The following is a 20,429-nucleotide window of genomic DNA, read 5'->3' as shown; positions in this document are numbered from 1 at the left end:
TGAGACATGAAAACTCAAAACCCATTGGTAACCATCTTTTTGGTCACGTGGCCCAAAGATACAGTGGCAGTTGGTTTGCTGAAAGAGGGGAGCAAGTGGACACACGGGGAGATGCAGAAATCAAAGACTGACAACTTTCTAATCTATAATTCCTGAGATCGGGTTCAATGAGCTATCCTGTATCCGTACAGAGGCCTACCAAAACAATCATGTCCCTTATTTTACTGGTATATCTCACATAGCAAAAAGGACTCACAGTTAACAGTCTTCATAAGTGTCCTCTGTATTACTACACATCTATACCTCTTGGTAATTTTAGAAGATAGAAATGCAATAATATTATTGCCTCCATTTATGGAAGAGAAACTGAGGCAATGAGCTTATAAAAAGCCAAATGACACAGAAATATACTGGCTGAGCCAGAACTCAATCCACAGACTCCTGCTTAGCACAAAGGCTCTCTTTGTTAACTATTTCTGACCCTAGAGTTTAACTTCTGTTTTACAGTGTGGAAAAACCATGAGAAGGCATTGCAGCATTTTTAGAAATGAACTCATTTTTGATTGAGTTTGGAATTTTAAGCAAAAAGAACCTCAAGGTTTTGAGTTTTGACCCTGCAGTCTATCTTTATGACCCAGAGGGATTCTCTCAATTCATTCTGAGCTCACTGTTAGGGCCCCGGATTCCCAGGCCCAAGAAATGGGAATTGGTTTTTTGGTGGTTTTCCCTCAATCCAGCCGTAATGAACACCCTCGTATGCATGCAGAGATGTTAACAGAGATAGGCAACATGGAAGCTGGGAACTGAGTCTGGTCAAAATGTTTAAAACATTATGGGGCTAAATATTAGATTAGGACTAATGTGGTAAATTCAGAATACTGAGGGCCAATAGGAACCTTAAAATAGGATAGACAGTTGAAAACATGAGCTTTTTTTGTGCTTTGCCTTAATCCACCAACCTATCTGAAGGTCTAATCTATCAGGTATTTAACGATATACCAGAGATATTTCCTTCACTCCTCAGGGGAAGGAGGCAAGGAGAAATTGGTTCCACATGAAATGATGTGATTTCGATTACATTTTGAAATCAAAGCTTACAGGCTCTGCATGTGATAACTGTGTTTGCTCATTATACCACCTCTGCCACCAACAAAAACAAAATCCCGACCTCAAAACCAAAGAAATTAGAAAAGGAAAGAAATGTAGCCAACACATATCCAGCAGCCAGGGGGTCTATGTCCAGTTGAGGTTTCATTTCAAGAGGAAGCGGGTGAAAGGAAGACAGAAAAACCTCTGATAATTCTAGTTATTTAATTTAAAAGCACAAACCTGAAGAATATTCTTGGGTTTGTCAGTATCGAAACTTTCCCAAGGTTTCCCGTAAGTGGCGGAGGAGGCTGCTTTGTCAAAACCCTGAAAAGGCCTTGAAACACACTGGGACAATGATCTACAATTAAGTGTTCTCCAGTGGGTCTCAGCGTGACACACCATAATGGCTCCAAAGGAGCCCTTAAAACCGACAATGTCAATGAGTTCCTCCAAGCATGGGGATTTAGAGTTATGGATTAGACCTCTTAACCCTTCTCCTCCCCTCAAAATACCTTAAAGACCTTTTCTCCCAGGGGAGGAGTTCTGCTATCCAGTGTCTGACTAAAAGATCTTTGTGAAGTCACGTTTAGACAGGACATCAAATGAAGGATCTGTGTTCAGCTGAGATACTCCGCATGTTGCCCTCAACCAAACTGAGGGGCCAGAACCACAATGGCCCCATCAAAATGAAGAAGGAGCCTCGTAGGGGTTTCATTTCATTTCTGGATGTGAATGATCTTGGAAAAAACTTCTTTGCTGTTTTCTTGATGCTTTAGTTTATATACCTGTAAATTACTGATTTAACTAAAAGTAGATTTTGCTTTACAGCAAAAACAAGAATGACAAATCAGATCCTGTTCAACTAGTAAGGCACTTCCTTGCTGAATATCAGTCACACTTTGAAAGATGTATGAATTCTTTCAAACCAGCAGGAAAAATTTGGAATCAACTCTGTATTTTCTAAACTGAACAGTTACAGCACACAAAACAGGTTATCAAAATGGATAATCCCAACCCCTATTTATTTAGAGTAGTGACCATACATCATTAGTTTGGAAGGGATGCACTTTCCCAATTATGTTTTGCTAGTGACTCAATGTGCTTCCTTCCCTAAAACACACACTGTCAGTGGGGGCTGAGAACCTCATATAAGTAGTTACAGAGACCAGCTTTAATTTTTTATTTTATTTTTGCGCAACATTGTGAATGTAGCCAGCTTTTTATTAAACATTCATTCAAGCTAACTTATGTGCAAATGTGAAATATGATTGTAGGAAAGTATAGTTCCAGAACTTTAAAGATTGTTTTGTGACTTGAAAGCATTAATGACCCCTTTTAAGACCCTAAAACTACTAGGAGAACAGCTCTATTACCTGGTCTTATGTTCACACCATCCTATTGGTCTCAAAAGCTCAGTTCATTCCCCACGTGTGACTAAACAGGTTCCAGGACACACTACTGTACACAGAATTTGGGAAACTTTTGGGATAATGACTATAACAGAACTGGAAATGATTATTTCCTAATAAAAGCTTCCTCATTCCAATGTACTCATGCCAACAGGCTACTTGTAAGGTGGCAAATTAAGGTACGTTTTTCTTGCAAAAATATTCCATCACTCTTCCTTTTCCTTGTATAGCAAGGGAATTCTTTTCATTTTAGAATCATAAAGCTCTTAAACACTGGTTTTAAAATGGAAAAGCAAGTAGGCCTTTTATTAGAAAACTGCTGTTGAGAGCAGCTTTCTTTCCTGGTTACACAAACATCTGCCTTCCCAGAGAAAGGAAAATCAATGTTTAAAGTCTATTTAAAAAAAAGTAAATGCAAGATTTCACATATACCTTTCAGTAATGGGGGAAATAACCACCTTTAATTTTTATTTTCAGTTGTTTCAATGGCTTTTAAATTTGGCAAGTACTGCTACACTTTCCCGAAGTGACAGTGGGCCCTCGCAGCAACCCTCCTACCTGTACCCTCAGAAGTGATACTTACATAGCCCAGGTACGTACAAGTCTATACAACAAGGAACACATCATAAGTCAGACACTTGGAAAGGTATCGTCAGAAGGACTTTAAAGGCGAGTCATATTGTTTGGAGCTTACAGGACTCAGTTCTGATCAATGTGGAACTTTCCCTATTCCCTGGAATGGGATGAATCTGAGCTTTATTTATTTATTTTAAGAGACTGGGTCTTGCTCGGTGGCCCAGCCTGGAGTACATGGCATGATCATAGTTCCCTGCAGCCTTGAACTTTTGGGCTTAAGCAATACTCCTACCTCAGCCTCCCATATAGCTGGTATTACAGGCATGAACCACCACACCCTGTTAAGTTGTCTCTTTTTTGTAGAGGCAGGGTCTCGTTATATTGCCCAGGCTGGTCTTGAACTTCTGGCCTCAAGGGTCCTCCTGTGTCAGCCTCCCAAAGTGCTGAGATTACAGGCATGAACCACTGTGTCTGGACAAGTCTGACCTTTACAAAGACAAATTTATACCACACAACTGTATGCATTAAATTCAACCTTTTGGCCAAATCTAGATTCCTTGATCTAAGCAAAGGGTTTGACAAAAGGTACAGTGTTTTTATTTTTTTGCTTCATTTCTCCTCACTTTTCAAACCTGAAGCTATTGCCCCAGAGACTTCCCAGCCCCACAGTCTCAACTTCATTTCTCTGTTGGACACTAAGTGGCCAATTCTGCTAGTATTATGTAAGTCAGTCACACAACTGAAGAAAATCACTAGTTCTTAAGAGAAAACAGTATCTCTTCAAGCAGGTGAAAAAATGTCAGTCCAGAATTGACAGGCCCTTGGCAATTTGTCCATTTCTGAAAACCAAGATGATAAGAAAACCTTTTAACCTAAATAGGTGTGTGAGAACATTCTTGCATTGCTATAAAGGAATACTTGAGACTGGGTAATTTATAAAGAAAAGAGGTTTAATTGACTCATGGTTCTGCAGGCTGGACAGGAGGCTTGATACTGGAATATGCTTGGCTTCTGGGGAGGCCTCAGAGAGCTTTTGCTCATGGCAGAAGGTGAAGCAGGAGCGGTTATGTCACATGGCCAGAGCAGGCACAAGAGAGATCGAGTGGAGGGGAGGGAGATGCCACACTTTTAAACAACCAGATTTTGTGAGACCCCACTCACTGTCCATGAGATCATGGACAGCACCAAGCCATGAGGGATCCATCCCCAGGACCCAAACACCTCCCACCAAACCCTACCTCCAACAATGGGGACCATACTTCAGCATGAGATTTAGGGGGACAAGTATCTAAACTATATCAATAGGAAGAAAGAAGAAATTCAGCTGTTACTTGATGAAGAAATAAGCAAGCCTTTAACTACAAGCTCTGCAAGAAGATAGTCAAGGCAATTACTAACCCATAACAAAATATCAAAATCAACAAACTGTTTGGATTCTTTTTCCTTTTAATTACTGGATGTGTACTTTGGATATCAATATATTTCAGATGACTGAGCAGACATAATGATCTAAGTAGTCCTTTGGGGAATAATTTCATAATTTTCACAGCCAGAAGAATGTTGTGCACTTTAGGTCTTCCCAATAGCTAATTTACATGGCTGTATCTTTAAAACCTCTTCCCATACTCAAATTGGTTTTGGAGCCTCCAAATGTCCACTTGTTTCTGGGTTTGATATCAGAGAATCACTCTTGGCTCGTTCCTCTTCTTCATCCTCCAAACCAATTGATTACAAAGTTCTGTCAACTTAGAAGTCCTCTGAAATTCACGTCTTTTCTATTATAACTGCTCTGTCAGATGCATGCTTACATCACCTCATTTCAGGAACAATGCTTTTCTCTAGGTACATCCCTTTGCCTCAAGCAAGAACAACTCAAATCCATTGTAGACACTGCCCACTAGACTAATCTGCCTGTAATATCACCAGCATCATGTCACTGTTAGCCTCGGAAACCTTTGAAGGCTTCCCAGAATGGAGCCATCTTTTGATGCCTCCCATATATTGGTCTAAGTTTCCTGAATTTTCTGTTTCAGCCAGATAGCTTAACACACTAAACCTACTGTACACTACCTTATTCCCACTCTCATATGGAATTCTACCTAACTGGAATGACCTCTTTCCATCTGTCTGCCCATGTCTTATAAAACCACCTTAAAAAAATTAGTAAAAGCCCACAAGGTTAGAATTGTGATAAGGACTTAAGGTTTGCTAAGGTATGGGCATAGTTAAATCATAACCAGTTATTGTTTCATAACTTGCTTTGCTTTGCTTTGCTTTTCTATAATTGCTTACAGCTTAGGAGTCACATAGCTCATGGTCACAGATTTGTAACTTCTCCCATTGCTTCATAGAAAACATCAGTATCATAAAACCTAAGACTGGTGTTTGAGGTATTTTTCAGACTTTGCATTCTGATGAGCCAACGATGCCACCCAGATCTGTGACCCACACCAAGGAACTGACTCACCAGCTCTGTAAGCCCCACCCAGAAACTGACTCAGGCACAAAGACAGTTTTGACGCCCGTGCTATTTCATCTCCACCCAATCAGCAGTATCCATTCCCTAGCCCCAAGCCCACCAAATTTCCTTAATAACCCTAGCTTCCAAATTCTTGGGAAGGCAAATATGAGAAATATCTCCCATCTCCTCACTTAGCTGGTCCTGAGATTATTAAACTGTTTTTCTGCCGCAACACCACTGTTTCAGTGCATTGGCTTTTCTGTGCAGCAAGCAAGAAGTATCCGTTGGGCTGTAACAAATTGCAGTGTCATTTAGACAACTAAAAAATCCATTTTTTCCCTAAGATCTTATGTATGTAGCTTAAAACAACCTCATCATATTTGGAACTTGCTAAAAGAAATGATTTGATTACCTCTCCTGGCTCTGTGGGGTTGTCCACTGGCACTTTCTCAGAGATCTACTGGTTATATAAGAATTTTCACATTTTACACTTTCAATTCAGTGATAACCTAAAATAATGACTTTACCAGTTACATAAACCAGATTTCTCCTTTGCATTGAAATTTCTAAATTGAAAGGCATTCTTATGGAATAATACTTCAGTTTCTTAATATTTTAAGGCTTCATAATGGTCTCTACGAACCCCTTCTATTAGAAGGATTCAAGAACAGTTTTTGTTCTAAAGGGAATCTGTAAATGCATTTGACAATCATGTATTGTCATGTGGCATATCTTTCCTACTGTTATCTTGAACTGTTCTTTAAATCCTTTATTAGAGTTTTACTTTTCATGTTTTTAATGTCTAATCTTCCCTAACAGATAGTATACTCTCTGGGGATAGGGTTTATGTCTTAGATGTCTTTCGATTCCTGATGCACTAAACATAGCCTTGAAGAGAGGAAGTGCTTGGTCAAAACTGGTTGGTCTGGTTTTGACTATAAAGGCCTGATGTAGTCTACATTGCATATCAGAGGAAAAACAAACAAAAAAAAATGAGGACTAAGTTTTGCTAGATATCCAACTGAAAATTATCCAACTGAAAGAGAACACTCAAATTGTCCAAATGTTCCTCATCTTCACTAGGATGCATCTCTTTGAGGCATTTCCCATATAGCTATAAGGGCTGCCAGATAATGCTTTTTATACAACGAAGTCCTTATTTTACCTTTCTTCCAACAGACAATAAAAATCAAGACTGTTTTAGTAAGTAGTTTCTTTCTCATAATTGGTAAGAGGTACTAGAAGAAAAAAATGTTGAATCCTATCTGTTCTTAACGTTTCAGGCAAATCCTTAATCTACGTTAATTTCATGCTATTGTAGACAGAATTCTAGAACTATTATTTATCTTCCATATGAACAAGGTGGTCCTGTGTGTCATTCTAGACGTTATTAGTAGAAAACTAAAGCCTGCAGATGTCAAGGTGACAGGATTAGGAGGAAGAGAGAACCTCGAAATGGGATTTTCTCACTTGAGAACTGGGAGAGGACTGGACAATCAATCAGTTACCATCCATACACAGGGCTTAACTGGTTACCTGAAATATTTTCTCATGCAAGTGTTGAGTTGAATTATATAGATTTACGAAGCTTACTTTACTGCATGAGTTAAAAATTTTTGGCAGCAGTTGACAAACAGAGACCAGCACAAATGAAGTCATGGACTAATTTAGTAGAAGAAAAAATATTCTTTAATAAGTGCTTTTCTCACTGTTGCTACCTAGAGACAGGAATGGGATGAACTGAGGAAGTCTGTGGCACTCAGTTATTGATGGGATATTAGCTAATCTTGTAGTTCAGTAAATATCATTCTCCCCGTCACCACAGAAAGATACTTGTGGAGTTTAATGGGCAGCAAAAAAATCAGGATTAGAAGTCACTTGGATTTTTAAAACCAGTAACAGAGTTGTACATAAATAAATACATACACCTCTTATTTTTTAAAAGATCTTTCCAAAGAATGTTTTAAGGAAATGGAAGACGGTAGGAAGAGAGTTACAGGGACTAATGAACACTTTGCAAAGTGGCTTGTGTTTATGGCCCATCTCTCAACTAGAAAAAAGGGGGAGTGTGAGAGGTTAACTTTAGTAGGAGAATAACTAAAGCTAGGGCAAAGTAAGGAAGCTTTTCTTCCTCCATGAACTGTTCTTTGTTCAGGGGCTACTGCATGTTCAGCATGAAAGTTAATTAACACACAGCACACTGCTGCCTGGAACGCCTTACATAATTACACCTGGAGTCTAATTAGGTAACTCTCAACTATCCCTTGTCTAAATCATCCAAGCTACAAATCTCTCAGTGTGGCTAGCATTCATTTAGTGAGGCCTGTGACATGCTTGTGAAATTAAAAAGTTGTCACTTCTAACATATGGGATACACTAACAGCCTAAATGAGTTTTCCCATATGGTTTTCATGTAGAAAGTGAAGCCTTGAGAGAAAGTACGATCTTTCTGGATTCCTTTGTGTTGCCTACAGATTCCAGGACACCATGCCAGGTAGAATCATATTTTATTGACAATACTGTCAAGCAATTACTAATTAAGGTATTTGTGCTGTTATTTAATTTTAATAGGATGATACAATGTTAATATTGATCATTCTGAGATGACAAGATTATGATAAATTAAAATTTTTTAGACTTTTCTAGAATTTTCCAAGTTTTCTATAATGAAGAAATATCTTTATACTAATAACAATGTAGAGAGAGGAAGAAAAATTGGTAAAGGACTCCTCTATAAAATGATCCCATCTTTGTATTAATGAGTACTACATAATATGCAGAGTATAATTTATTATTATTTCAAAATTTAATATAATTTTAAATACTGTATATAGTGTATACAATAAAATACCAATCTACATCACTAGCTTTCATTTATCTAATCAAACTGAATAAATGTGCAAGATATGCTATAAATTACTTCCAAGAATGTACAACTTGGTAAAATGGGACACAGATTTTAGTGACATGGAAAGAGTTGTAATCGGTAGTATCGTTTAACAACAGATTAAGTTTCTCTTTTTTCTTTGACCACTTTTTGCAAGTGACACCATATCACCCTTGAGATTTGTCACTTGGCTTGGCACATCTTTGTTATCAAGTGAAAATGACCAAAAGGAACACCTTGTTACCAAATCTGTTCATTACATGGGCAGGTTCATGAGAGCTGAACTCCACCCAACATATTCTGAAAACGGTGAGAGGAGGAGGGAGGATCCTGGAGAGTGAGAAACAGAACTTAATTAGTTGCAATGCCTGGGTCCACTGCTATAATCAGTGAAGCTACCCAACTGGTGGGCCAAGCCAAAGGGATCAGAAACAGGTCTACTATTGCCAAGTTTTCACTCTGCCTGCAGCGACTGTCAACTAATGACAGATTAGACAAATCTGATAGCTCTATCAAAACATTCATCTCAAATCTTGATTAGTAATCCTATTGAATTATGATTAATTCACAAGGGTGCTGCTGACAGATAAGATACTTTATCTAACAATGTGTACTAGTTGCTTTGCCCGAAGCCAAAATTTAAAAAAAGCCCCCCAAAACAAAAAAAAACACAAACTCCAGAAGTTGCTAGTAAAATAAACTATCAAGTATTGCACATTGAGAAGGATAATGAGGCTACATGAACCATTTAATTTAATAAAGAGCTTGTTTGTGAGAACTCAGTCTTGATACAAAAAAACAAGAGGGACTTAGGGAGAGAAATACAGTGAGAACAATACACTATAAACAAGAGTACACTCTCTGCCTTTTCAGCAAGGAGTATGTAAGAGACATTAACTCACGATTGCTTCAGGGGGTACCATTCTCCATTTTGGCTACATCCCAGTTACTCAGGCCAGAGGCAGAGCAGAACTTGCATGCTTTTTGCAACTTACCATCCAATTACTCTTCTTGTCTCTGGGATGAAGACATCTGTGCATAGAAATACCCAGCAGACCTAAACTCATGGGATTTTCAGAAAGCAGATTTTTTTTTTTAAATCTTTAGGGAGTAAAGTGATAGGGAAGAGGGAAAGTAGAAGAAAGGAAGTGTTTAACTTTCCTAAGAAAAGGAATAAAAATGAGGGTTCCTAATGTCCTTTTTTCTTTTCGCTTTGTCTGAAGCAAAGAAACATTCGATGTGATGTATGCTAAAGTTTTAGTTTAGTACACAGCTATGACTCAGGATAAATCGAATCAGTATTACTCATTCCCTTATCAAGCCAGCTCATGGGGCCTGAACCTAAACCTATCATTCCATTCATGGCTTTGCCAACCCCAAAAATTCAGCTATGCTTGTTGGGGTTTGGGTTGGGTTGCTGGGGCAGTCAGAGGATACTAAGTACTCAAAATCTTGTGTAATTTTAGATGGTATCATTATCTTATCCTGACCTTATGATTTTACAAAAAGCCTAATGTCCTATAATCATGTTTCTCTTTAGCTGGTATTAACCTTTCGGTGACTTCTCTCTTCTCTCTCTCTGTCTCTCTCTCACACTCTCATAACTATCCTGTTAATCAATTGTGCACTGCAGATGGGGTCAAGGAAATCTACTTCCTCCTTTGATAGCCTCCAATGTTTCTACTCTTGGGGATAAAAGTGCTTTAAATGGAGTTATATTCTAGGAAAATCAATATATGATTACTGCAAAGATTTGTATTGATTGTGCGTTGCATTGCAAAAAGGCTAAAGAAAAATGGCATGGCACATTTTCCTTCAATTCCTACTCCACAGAGTTTGTTGTGAATGTTTTGGGCAAGAAGAAAATGTTGGAACTTTATTTAATGACCTAAAGTTTTCATCATTCACTCCACTTACTTTTTTCTCTGCCCCAGGAAGTGCTTCATTATGACTCTCCTGGCTTCTCGTCTATAATACTGGCCAACATCAAGGGCTGCCAGGAGAGTTCACAGAGCTGAAGACTGTCTCCTTCACACAAGGGAGTTGTGCCAGAAACTGCAGGTTGCCTTCCTAACATCCATTCTTCCCTTTCTACTCTCTCACACAGGCCTGATTTTGTTGAGAGCAGCAATGTACCCAGCTGAAAAGCACTTCTCAGTTTTCCCTTACCTATAGATGAAACTAAGTGATTAGGTTTTAGGTAATGGAGTCTAGGTAGAGATTGTTGGGCAAGGCTTCTGGGGAAGTTCCTTAAAAAGGGGTTGGGGTTTGGCTCAGCTGCCAGGCACATTATACCCTTCCCTCCCTTTCTTCCTTCTTCCTACCTGTAATGTAGGTGAGCCATTAGGAGCCACAGCAGTTCTTTTGTGACCGTGAGGGAAACCTGAAGCCAGAAGCCAAGTCAAAGTATAGCAGAACCTCAAGACCAAAGGGGCCATGAACATTGGTGATGTTGTGGAGCCACCAGAATAACCCTGTTCTTTGTGAACTTCTTTCAGATGAAGGAAAATAAATCCTGATATTGTTTAAGTTACCGTTTTTCTGGTCTTTGATATTTGCAGCCAAACATGAGCCATTTCTCCAGCAAAATGCCTAATTATATGAGTTCTCAATGTTGTGCTGACTAATAAAAATAAGTAATTTTTTTTTCTTTGAGCCAGAGCCTTGCTCTGTTGCCCAGGTTGAGTGCAGTGGCGTGATCTCAGCTCACTGCAACCACCATCTCCCGGGTTCAAGCAATTCTCCTGCCTCAGCCTCCAGAGTAGGTGGGATTACAGGCACCCGCCCCCATGCCCGGATAATTTTTGTATTTTTAGTAGAGACAGGGTTTCACCATGGTGGCCAGGCTGGTGTCAAACTTCTGACCTCAGGTGATCCGCCTGTCTTGGCCTCCCAAAGTGCTGGGATTACAGGCGCGAGCCACCGCGCCCAGCCACCTTTTTTTTTGAGATGGAGTCTCATTCTATCACCCAGGTTGGAATGCAGTGGCACGGTCACTCACTGCAACCCCTGCCTCCCAGTTGAAGTAATCCTCCCACCTCAGCCTCCCAAGTAGCTGAGATTACAAGCACGCGTCACCAAGCCTAGCTAATTTTTGTGTTTTCAGTAGAGACAAGATTTCACCATGTTGGCCAGGCTGGTCTTGAACTCCTGACCTCAAGTGACCCTCCTCCCTTGGCCTCCCAAAGTGCTGGGATTATAGGTGTGAGCCACCACACCTGGCCAAAAATAAGTAACATTTATCTCTAGGATAAATGTCATAGGCAGTGGTTACTGGGTGACCCAAATACTTCAAGGTGTCTACAATCATTTAGTTGTTTTCCCAATCACTAGTGTTGAGAATACTGTAGTAATAAGGTCTTTAAGAAGTTTGGTGTACCTTTGTGATTTTTAGCTGTCCAGCCTCCATTTCTCTATCTTCTAGTATTAACAGTGCTCCAATTTCGTCTGGGAAATTTCTTCCCCTTATAGTGTGCAGTCTTAGTGGGACTGTCATCAAGGGGCTCTGGCCTCCCCTAATGGAGGAGCAGGTATGAGATCCAGACTAAACTCCTTCAGACTTTCATTAAGGATTCAAGACCCATTTAGATGATTCTGGAATAAAAGCTGTTTTATTATAAATTAAGAGATGGAATTTCTAAAAGCCTCTACCTTACAGACTGAACATTTCTTACTGAGAAGTTCTTCTTAATGGCTTATTGCCTAAGTGATTTAAATTTTTCATTAAATACAGAAGTTACTGATTATAAAATCTATTGACTAGTTAGCTTCAATGGACTATTAAAACATTTACTCTAAAAACTGCAGCTTAAATAGAAGGTAATATTAAACTGGGTGAAAAATTAAATTTTGGGAATAATAACAGCTTACCTTTATGGAGTGTTTCCTTTGTGGCAGACACTACTCCCTGATATTTAAATATATAAACTAATATAATACCTATAATAACCTATGAGTTAAGCATTGCTATTATTCCCTTTATTCAGATGGGAAAACCGAGGGAGAATGGTTAAGTAATTTGCCCAATGCCATGTAGTTTGTAAGTGGAAGAGTCAGGATAATTCTCAAAGCTACTGTGATAAAATTATATACTTCTCTATCGCTGGTGGCAATACAAACTAACATAAAACCAGCCAAGGCCGGGCGCGGTGACTCACACCTGTAATCCCAGCACTTTGGGAGGCTGAGGCAGGCAGATCACAAGGTCAGGAGTTCGAGACCAGCCTGGCCAATATGGTGAGACCCCGTCTCTACTAAAAATACAAAAAAAAAAATTAGCTGGGCGTGGTGGTGTGCACCTGTAATCCCAGCTACTTGGGAGGTTGAGGCAGGAGAATCTCTTGAACCTGGGAGGCAGAGGTTGCAGTGAGCCGAGATAGTGCCTCTGCACTCCAGCCTGGTGACAGAGTGAGACTGTCTCAAAAAACAAAAAACAAACAAACAGAAAAACAGCCTAGACATTTTTTTGGTAATGTATAGTAAAAGCCATACAAACACTTATACCTTTTACTTAATAATTCCATTTGTAATATTATATTCAAGAGAAACCATCTAATTGAAGAAAACAGAGATTTTTATTGCAGCATTATTCCTAATAGCATAACTAAGTAGAAGTAACCTAACTTCAATACTGGGGAACAATTAAACCCAAAATAGTATATAAACAACGCATTATCAGTCTTTAAAATGCATAATTATAAAATTATGAAGCAACACAGGAAACAATGTAGCATTAAATAAAAAAGCATGATACAAAATTTCATGTACTCAACAACAATACCTAAATTAACCCACACATTCCTATGGTCAATGGCTGGAAATTAACTTTCAAGGTAAAAATAGCTGTATTAGGAGAGTGGGACCATGGTGAAGTCCCACTCCCCCATTTTTCTCTATTATTTTCAAATCAAAAAGGGGGAACAATAAAGTGGAAACATGTTTTCAAGAAAGGAAGAGAAATCGCACGAAGTTCCCAGTGCCCCAGCATGCTTTGGGATCTTGATTGGGAAAGCCCATCGTTCCCCCTTCACTGTAGATTAACGAGAATGCTACGAAGGAACGGAGGCTTAGCAACGGAAGGCTCTTTATCCAGTCAAGGTAAATGAAGTTGGGCTGGTCAGAAGAGTAAATAAGATTAGTTATGAGCTCCAGGTCATCCACTCATGGAGGTCAGCGAGTGTGAGATTATTATCCTTGGTAGAAGAGCAGCAAAATAGCATTAAGGAATAAATTAATGAAAACGGTAGAAGATTATTTGAACGAAAGCCCTAATCAGTTTAGAGATTTCACTCAACTGCTCTACCGGCCATCAGTCAAGCTCACAAAACAAATATGCTTGTTCTCTTAAGTAATTCCAGGAGATCTCCCTTTCTTGCTTCAAAGACATCCAATCTAAGGAAAGTCATGAATAAAGTTACCCCGGTTTGCTGTTACACCTCATACAAAACCCACTCAAGCATCAAGGTGCATGCTACAGCAGACTATTTACAGAAGATGCGTAATTGCTAGTCCTGTTTGGCCTTTGATTCTGAACAGAACATTATTCCATATCCATTCAGAAACACTGAATTCACCAATGTGCAAACTGCATATTTTATTAAATAAACACAAACTAGGAGATAATGACATACATTTGTTTTCATTACAAGTAGTAATGCAATATTTCTCCAAGGCTTACTGCATTAGCATTTCTCTCCACGTTTCAAATGCCTTTGAACTTTCTGAAAAGCTACATCTGTTAGCTCCCGTGTATACAGCGGAAAGTTACCAAGTGAATTAAGTTTTAATATAAATTGCTTTGTTCACTATTAAGATTGATGTTGGACACACTGTACTGTAAGTTGCAAACTGCAATTACAATTCGTTGCAATTATCTTTGGTTGTTAATAGCACAAGATAGCATGTCACTTTCTACCAAGTGTATAATTTATCATTTGTGGTTTTTTTTGTGAACTCTTGTGGTATTCCAAATGTATAATCTTGTTGTATTTATTTCCCAGTGGTCCAACAAAATGCACAGCAAGTGCTGACTAGAACAAACTAAAAAGCACTGCTATTGACAAGCCGTCACTTGAGCAGTAATGAACATTCAGCCTCCACTTTCACCTCAACAAACCAGCAGCTTTAATTTATGATAAAGCAAAGGAGAGACAACCTCCAGGTTTATTATACCCTCACTGCTGTTTCAAATAAAGTAATTAGAAGGTCAAGAGACAGGTCTGGAAAGCCAAATATAAATGCAACCCTTCTGTACAGACATTAAAAAAAAAAGACTAGTGTGTTCAAAGAGCATTTTATCCATCTTTCTTCTTCAGAGCTGGGCAAGTCGGTTGTTGTTCTTTTTTAATACTACCGTAACCAATCAGAAACAGTAGCAGCACCATTCTTTCACTGTCTAATTTGCTCCATATGGACTACGAGCCGCTCACCTAGGAGACGCTGTCCTTAAGAGAACATGACTTACTAGTCCCCAAAACTGCTCTCAACTGTAGACTTAGGGCAGGTGATCAGACATTTCTTTTTGTTTTTTTGTTTTTTTCTTCCGATAAAGAAAACTCAGGTGAAGTGATGGAAAGGTTCTAGAGAAATCCTACTGATATAATGGTAGCCCACAAATAAATAGAAATCTATTTGAAAACATCTGCTGTAAAATTTTTCTTGAAAAAATATCCGAGGAAAAGGGGTTGGCTGGGAGAAAAATTGCCTTTTCCATATGTTTTGTTTTCAGTGATGAATAAACAAGTATAAAAAACTAGTATGTTGTTTTGAAGAAACTACCTACAATATCATATTTCATTTTAAAGGCTCCTAATTTTGCATAATTGTGTTCTGCATTTATGTTCCTCTTTTTTCTCCTACATAAGAATCACACCACCCAAGCCAGGCGCGGTGGCTCACACCTGTAATCTTGGCACTTTGGGAGGCCAAGGCAGGCGGATCATGAGGTCAGGAGTTCGAGACCAGCCTGACCAACATGGGGAAATCCTGTCTCCACTAAAAATACAAAAATTGGCTGGGTGTGATAGTGTGCTCCTGTAGTCCCAGCTACTCAGGAGGCTGAGGCAGGAGAATTGCTTGAACCCAGGAGGCGGAGGTTGCAGTGAGCCGAGATTGCGACACTGCACTCCTGCCTGGGTGACAGAGGGAGACTCTGTCTCAAAAACAAACAAACAAACAAACAAACAATAAAACCACCCAAAAATTCCTTGTAAAGGCCATGTAATCTAATGGCCTACATGGCCTACATGGCCATGTATAGCCATGTAGGCTATACACCCAGCCTACCCTCTGAGGAGTAAGTTAAGACAATTGTAAGGGCCTCTTCTAAACCAGCTGCCCTCAAATGTGTTGATCCATGGATTACTGCAGGGGGAAATTATGTTGCATGAAGAAACTACATTTCTCCCCATCACCTATTGTTTTAAGCTCTTCTCCAAGCCTCTAAATGAAAAGATGAGGATGGTAGAAGAATAGAAAGAGGAGAGTGGAAGAAGCACAAAGAAAAGAAGGGATAGAAATTGAGGGGAAGAAAGACAAAACCAGAACTCACCAAGCTCCTGCACAGGTAGCTATGGTATGTGTCACATATACTACATGCTACATTGTGTTATGTGGGAAAAAAGATGAATCTTCCAAAATGGTACAAGTTATTCTTGGTGCCATAACCTAGGAAAATTCTTTTTTTTTCTTTTTTTGAGACAAAGTCTCACTCTGTTGCCCAAGCTGGAGTACAGTGGTGCCATCTTGACTCACTGCAACCTCTGTCTCCCAGATTCAAGGGATTCTCCTGCTCAGCCTCCCAAGTAGCTGGGATTACAGGCATGTGCCACCATGCCCAGCTAATTTTTGTATTGTTAGTAGAGATGAAGTTTCGCCATGTTGGCCAGGCTGGACTCGAACTCCTGACCTCAAGTAATCCGCCTGCCTCAGCCTTTCAAAGTGCTGGGATTACAGGCATGAGCCACCACACTCAACCAACCTAGGAAAATTCAAGGCTATTATAATCATCTTGATCCATCTCTTTTTGGGGTCTGTGGCACGTACACTCCAAAAGCCTTTCTGAAACAGCGTTCTGTTGTGTAATTTTTGATTCAAGTCATTTTTCCCATCATCTATTCAAGCAGTCAGTATAATTGCACTTGATTATATAAGTGGTGGAAAGGTATGTAATATCATAGAGCATGTACTTATGTTGTAAAAATCCTTATGAAACTGTAAAACAGAAAGTGCACAAGTACAGTAGGTGCTTCTGTTTTTCTTTTTGTCTCCAGCAAGAAAACCTACTGGAAGCAATGTCTTCATGGTGTATAGGAAATGGATATATTTTGTGTTCTCATCTACCAGGGTGAAGGGATGGGCAGCTTTGATCCACAATCACTTTGATATCCCTAGTGTCAAATAATATTTATAAATCATGCATTAATAAAGAGACAATATCTGTACTCTATAATCCAACTGCATACAGGAAAGACAAAATAGTATTAAATTTCTGAGGCATACAGTATAATTTCTAGGTTGGTTTCTTCAATCCAGGAACATGTTTTCTTCTGTTGTAGCCATTTTTTGTTATTGTTTATTTATTATTTTACTCTAAAATGTAATACTCCTAATTTTTACAATTAGTGGGAAAATAACTATAGAAATAAACTATAAGCCAGATAATTTTCCAAATTTTTTTGAGGCAGTAATTTCAGCTGTTTCTCTAACTAGATAAAACAAAAAACAATTTGACTAATCTGCATTCTTCAATCCTCCCCTCCCAGCCACCTTCTTTTCTGATCTCTCACTGGAGGTGCTAATGAGTAGTGAAGTGTTCAAAATGCTACGCTGTGCAGTGGAAAGAGATGCACAGAGCCTGAGTAATTCAAAGTGGAAAGTGAGACTTGTTTCATCAGGCTGTAAACTTTCATCTCAGTGGAAGTCCTAACAATGGTATCCTGGATGTCAAATCTCCACCAAACAGAAGATTCTCAAAGAGGAAAGCCAGCTCTCCTATTTCTTTCCCATAGGAAACCTATATGCCAAAGGAATCTAGAAACCGAGGTGTTCCTGGTTTCTACCTGAAGGGCCCAACACTGAGATAGGTTTTTAGGAAAATGTAAAGGAATTGTGGAGGATGATCACTACCTGGGAGGACCTTCCACATTGGACAAAGCCCAGTACTTGGTAGATATGCCAACAACTTTTGCATATGCCCATTAAATGCATCAACTGTTACTAAAGAAATGTATATGGTTCTATGAGTATGGCAGAGGCATAAAAAAATCATGATGCCTATGGGAGGCACTGTTGGTGCCTCAACAACCATTCCCACCTTCTTCCTTGTTAACAGAATCTATTTTATTCAGGTATTCAGCACTCAAAGGAAGTTGACTCCATTGCCAGATTGGGAGTAAATCTTAGTTAATCAGTCGATAATGGTGCTTCCATTTCCCTTGCCAGTCTTGGTTTAGGGGTTTCAGTTGGGAGCTTCTAGGAAGGATCTCCTCACTCTTAAGAAGGAGACACAAGAAGAATTGATTTCCTTCTATCTCTGTTGTTTCTACATCTGGATGTGGTGCCTGGAGCTACTGTAGGCATTTGAAGCCCAAAGGAGGCCAGCATGAGGGTGGTGATGATGGCAGAAACTGAAGAAAAGAACTCAAGTCTCCAATCGCATCATTGGGCCTATGATCATATCACACCTACAGCTGTCCTATTTCCGAACTTCCTGTGATGTGAGATAACAACTGGCATTGTTTACAGTAATTTGAGTCAGGGTACAATTTGATACTGTGCCCATTGTATTAGTCCATTCTCACAGTGCTATAGAGAACGGCCAAAACTGGGTAAATTATAAAGGAAAGAGGTTTAATTGACTCAGTTCCACAGGACTTGGGAGGCCTCAGGAAACTTACAATCATGGCAGAAGGGGAAGCAAACACATTCTTCTTCACATGACAGCAGGAAGCAGAAGAATGAGAACCCAGTAAAGGGGGAAGCCCCTTATAAAACCATCAGATCTCATGAGAATTTACTCACTATCACGAGACTAGCATGGGGGAACCACCCCCATGATTCAATTACCTCCCACTGGGTCTCTCCCATCACACGTGGGGATTATGGGAACTATAATTCAAGATGAGATTTGGGTGGGGACACAGCCAATCCATATCACCATTTGTCCATTAAGGAGGAGTAACACACACATACACACACACAAACACATGAATGAATGTATGTATGTATGTATGTATGTATGTATGTATGTATGTATCTATCTATCTATCTATCTATCTATCATCTATCTATCTAAGCTATAACCATGCCAACACAACTGAATTTAAATCTCAATAACATCAAACCAGTATCTGCATATATTACTGGTGAGATTTTAAAAATTGGTACCATCCTTTTGGAGAGAGTTTGTCAGTATGTACCAAGAGCTATGAAGAGGCTTATAAATTTTGACCAAGTATTTTACCTTGGGTAAGCTCTCCTAGGGAAATAATTCAAAACATGGACAAATACATACTCTATATTTGGTAGAGTATTACGCATCCATTACAAAAGATGATTCAAACTTTAGCAAAGTGAAAAAGAGAGTACTAGAATAATGATGATGATGATGATGATGATAAAAGTCAACATGTGTGTACGTGTCAGAGCCCAAAGAATATCTACCAAAATGTTCACAGAGGTAGTGTCATGGTGGGGGACCAGGGGGTGAGTTATTTTTTTCCTGCTTTCTTTTCCAAATTTCCTAAATAGGAAATAATATTTATATTTGAAATTTCTACCCTGCATTATTCAGCTGCTTAGTACAATTTGCGGGCGAGGCTGATTGAAAATGTCTAGAGAGGGAGACTGGGCTAGCCTGGGGAAAAGACTTGAGGCAGATGCAGAAAGCTCATTAGCACCAGGATTTCTTCACAAATAGTTGGATTTTTCTTTTAAACTCTGACTTTTCTTTTCTTTCCTTTTTTAAAAGGAGATGATTATTCCATGATTTGGGTAAGGTGAACAAAAATAGTTAACACATATGGGATGGTGAGCTAACGTGCCATCACCGAAAGAAGCCCATTGGGGAAAATTCTTATTTCTAAATAAGAAAGAAAATGCGAAGTGCTTTGATTCAAGTGTTCTGCTTCAGAATACATTTGCCTAGAAGCGCCTAAGAGTGCAAGGTGGGGGCTGGAAGGCACTGCATTCTTTTAAATAAAAGCAGGGACATAGATGCTCCTTCTAATGTAAGCCAACAATGGCACTGTTGACAGAGTCCCAAAGAAGCTCATGATATTCCACATAATTAAGAGGAATTGTTGGCATCAGAGGGGCCAGAAATGTTCTGTAGATTAACTGCTTGCTTCATTGTTAATGACTGCCCAATTTCTTTAGACTAATTGGTTCAATCTACATTTCTGCAGCAAAGATGAAGTATCAACTTGATTTGGTGTCGATAAAAAATTGATGGATGCTTCTGACTGCTACTTCTCAACAATACATGGATTATTACTACTATAATTATCATAAATGACAAAACATGGGCAAGTGGTGATTACAAGTCTAATTCTATCTTGAGGTTTTAATGGCATAAACCACTCAGGCTTTACACTCATGATTTACTGCATCATCAAAATCCCTGAAAGGATTACCCTTGGGTGAATGCCACTCATTATCTTCCCAATAATGCACTGGTTTGGCCCAACATGGAACAAATAATCAAGATTGAGTTCTTAGAAAAGCCCTTTTTAAATATATAAATCTCTGGTTTGAGAAGGAGGCATGTACCTGCCAATATCCTTCTCTTCAATTCTGGATGTTGTAGTTGAATTTTGCTCTGGCGTGTACAAAAGCCAGGTGTCTCTATGTCACACAATAGCCTACTATGACACATAACAAAGCCATGAGATGCTCCATTATCGCTAACCAAGCACTACCAGAGTGCCACCAACCAAGAAGAGAGAGAAAAGGCTATCAGCCTCATATCTTCCCACTTCGTTGGGCACAAATACTAGTTCTGCAGAGC

At 39.2% G+C, this 20,429-nt stretch overlaps 1 protein-coding gene across 19 annotated transcripts in view; it reads right to left on the bottom strand.

Annotated features, from left to right (window-relative positions):
- Window positions 1–20,429, bottom strand: part of FTO (FTO alpha-ketoglutarate dependent dioxygenase) — a 417,979-nt gene that overhangs the window by 84,855 nt on the left and 312,695 nt on the right. For 4 of the 19 annotated variants that reach the window (XM_011523314.4, XM_011523316.4, XM_017023656.3 and 1 more), the window contains exon 9: window positions 12,978–20,429. This exon is cut by the window's right edge. The exons of the other annotated variants lie outside the window; for them this stretch is intronic. The gene's annotated coding sequence lies outside the window, so the exon portion shown is untranslated. Of the gene's footprint in view, window positions 1–12,977 lie in introns of those variants that run through there. 19 annotated transcript variants of the gene reach the window in all.

The sequence above is a fragment of the Homo sapiens genome, chromosome 16 (assembly GCF_000001405.40).
Source record: "Homo sapiens chromosome 16, GRCh38.p14 Primary Assembly".
NCBI lineage: Eukaryota > Metazoa > Chordata > Mammalia > Primates > Hominidae > Homo > Homo sapiens.
This window is presented reverse-complemented; position numbering and strand designations above follow the sequence as displayed.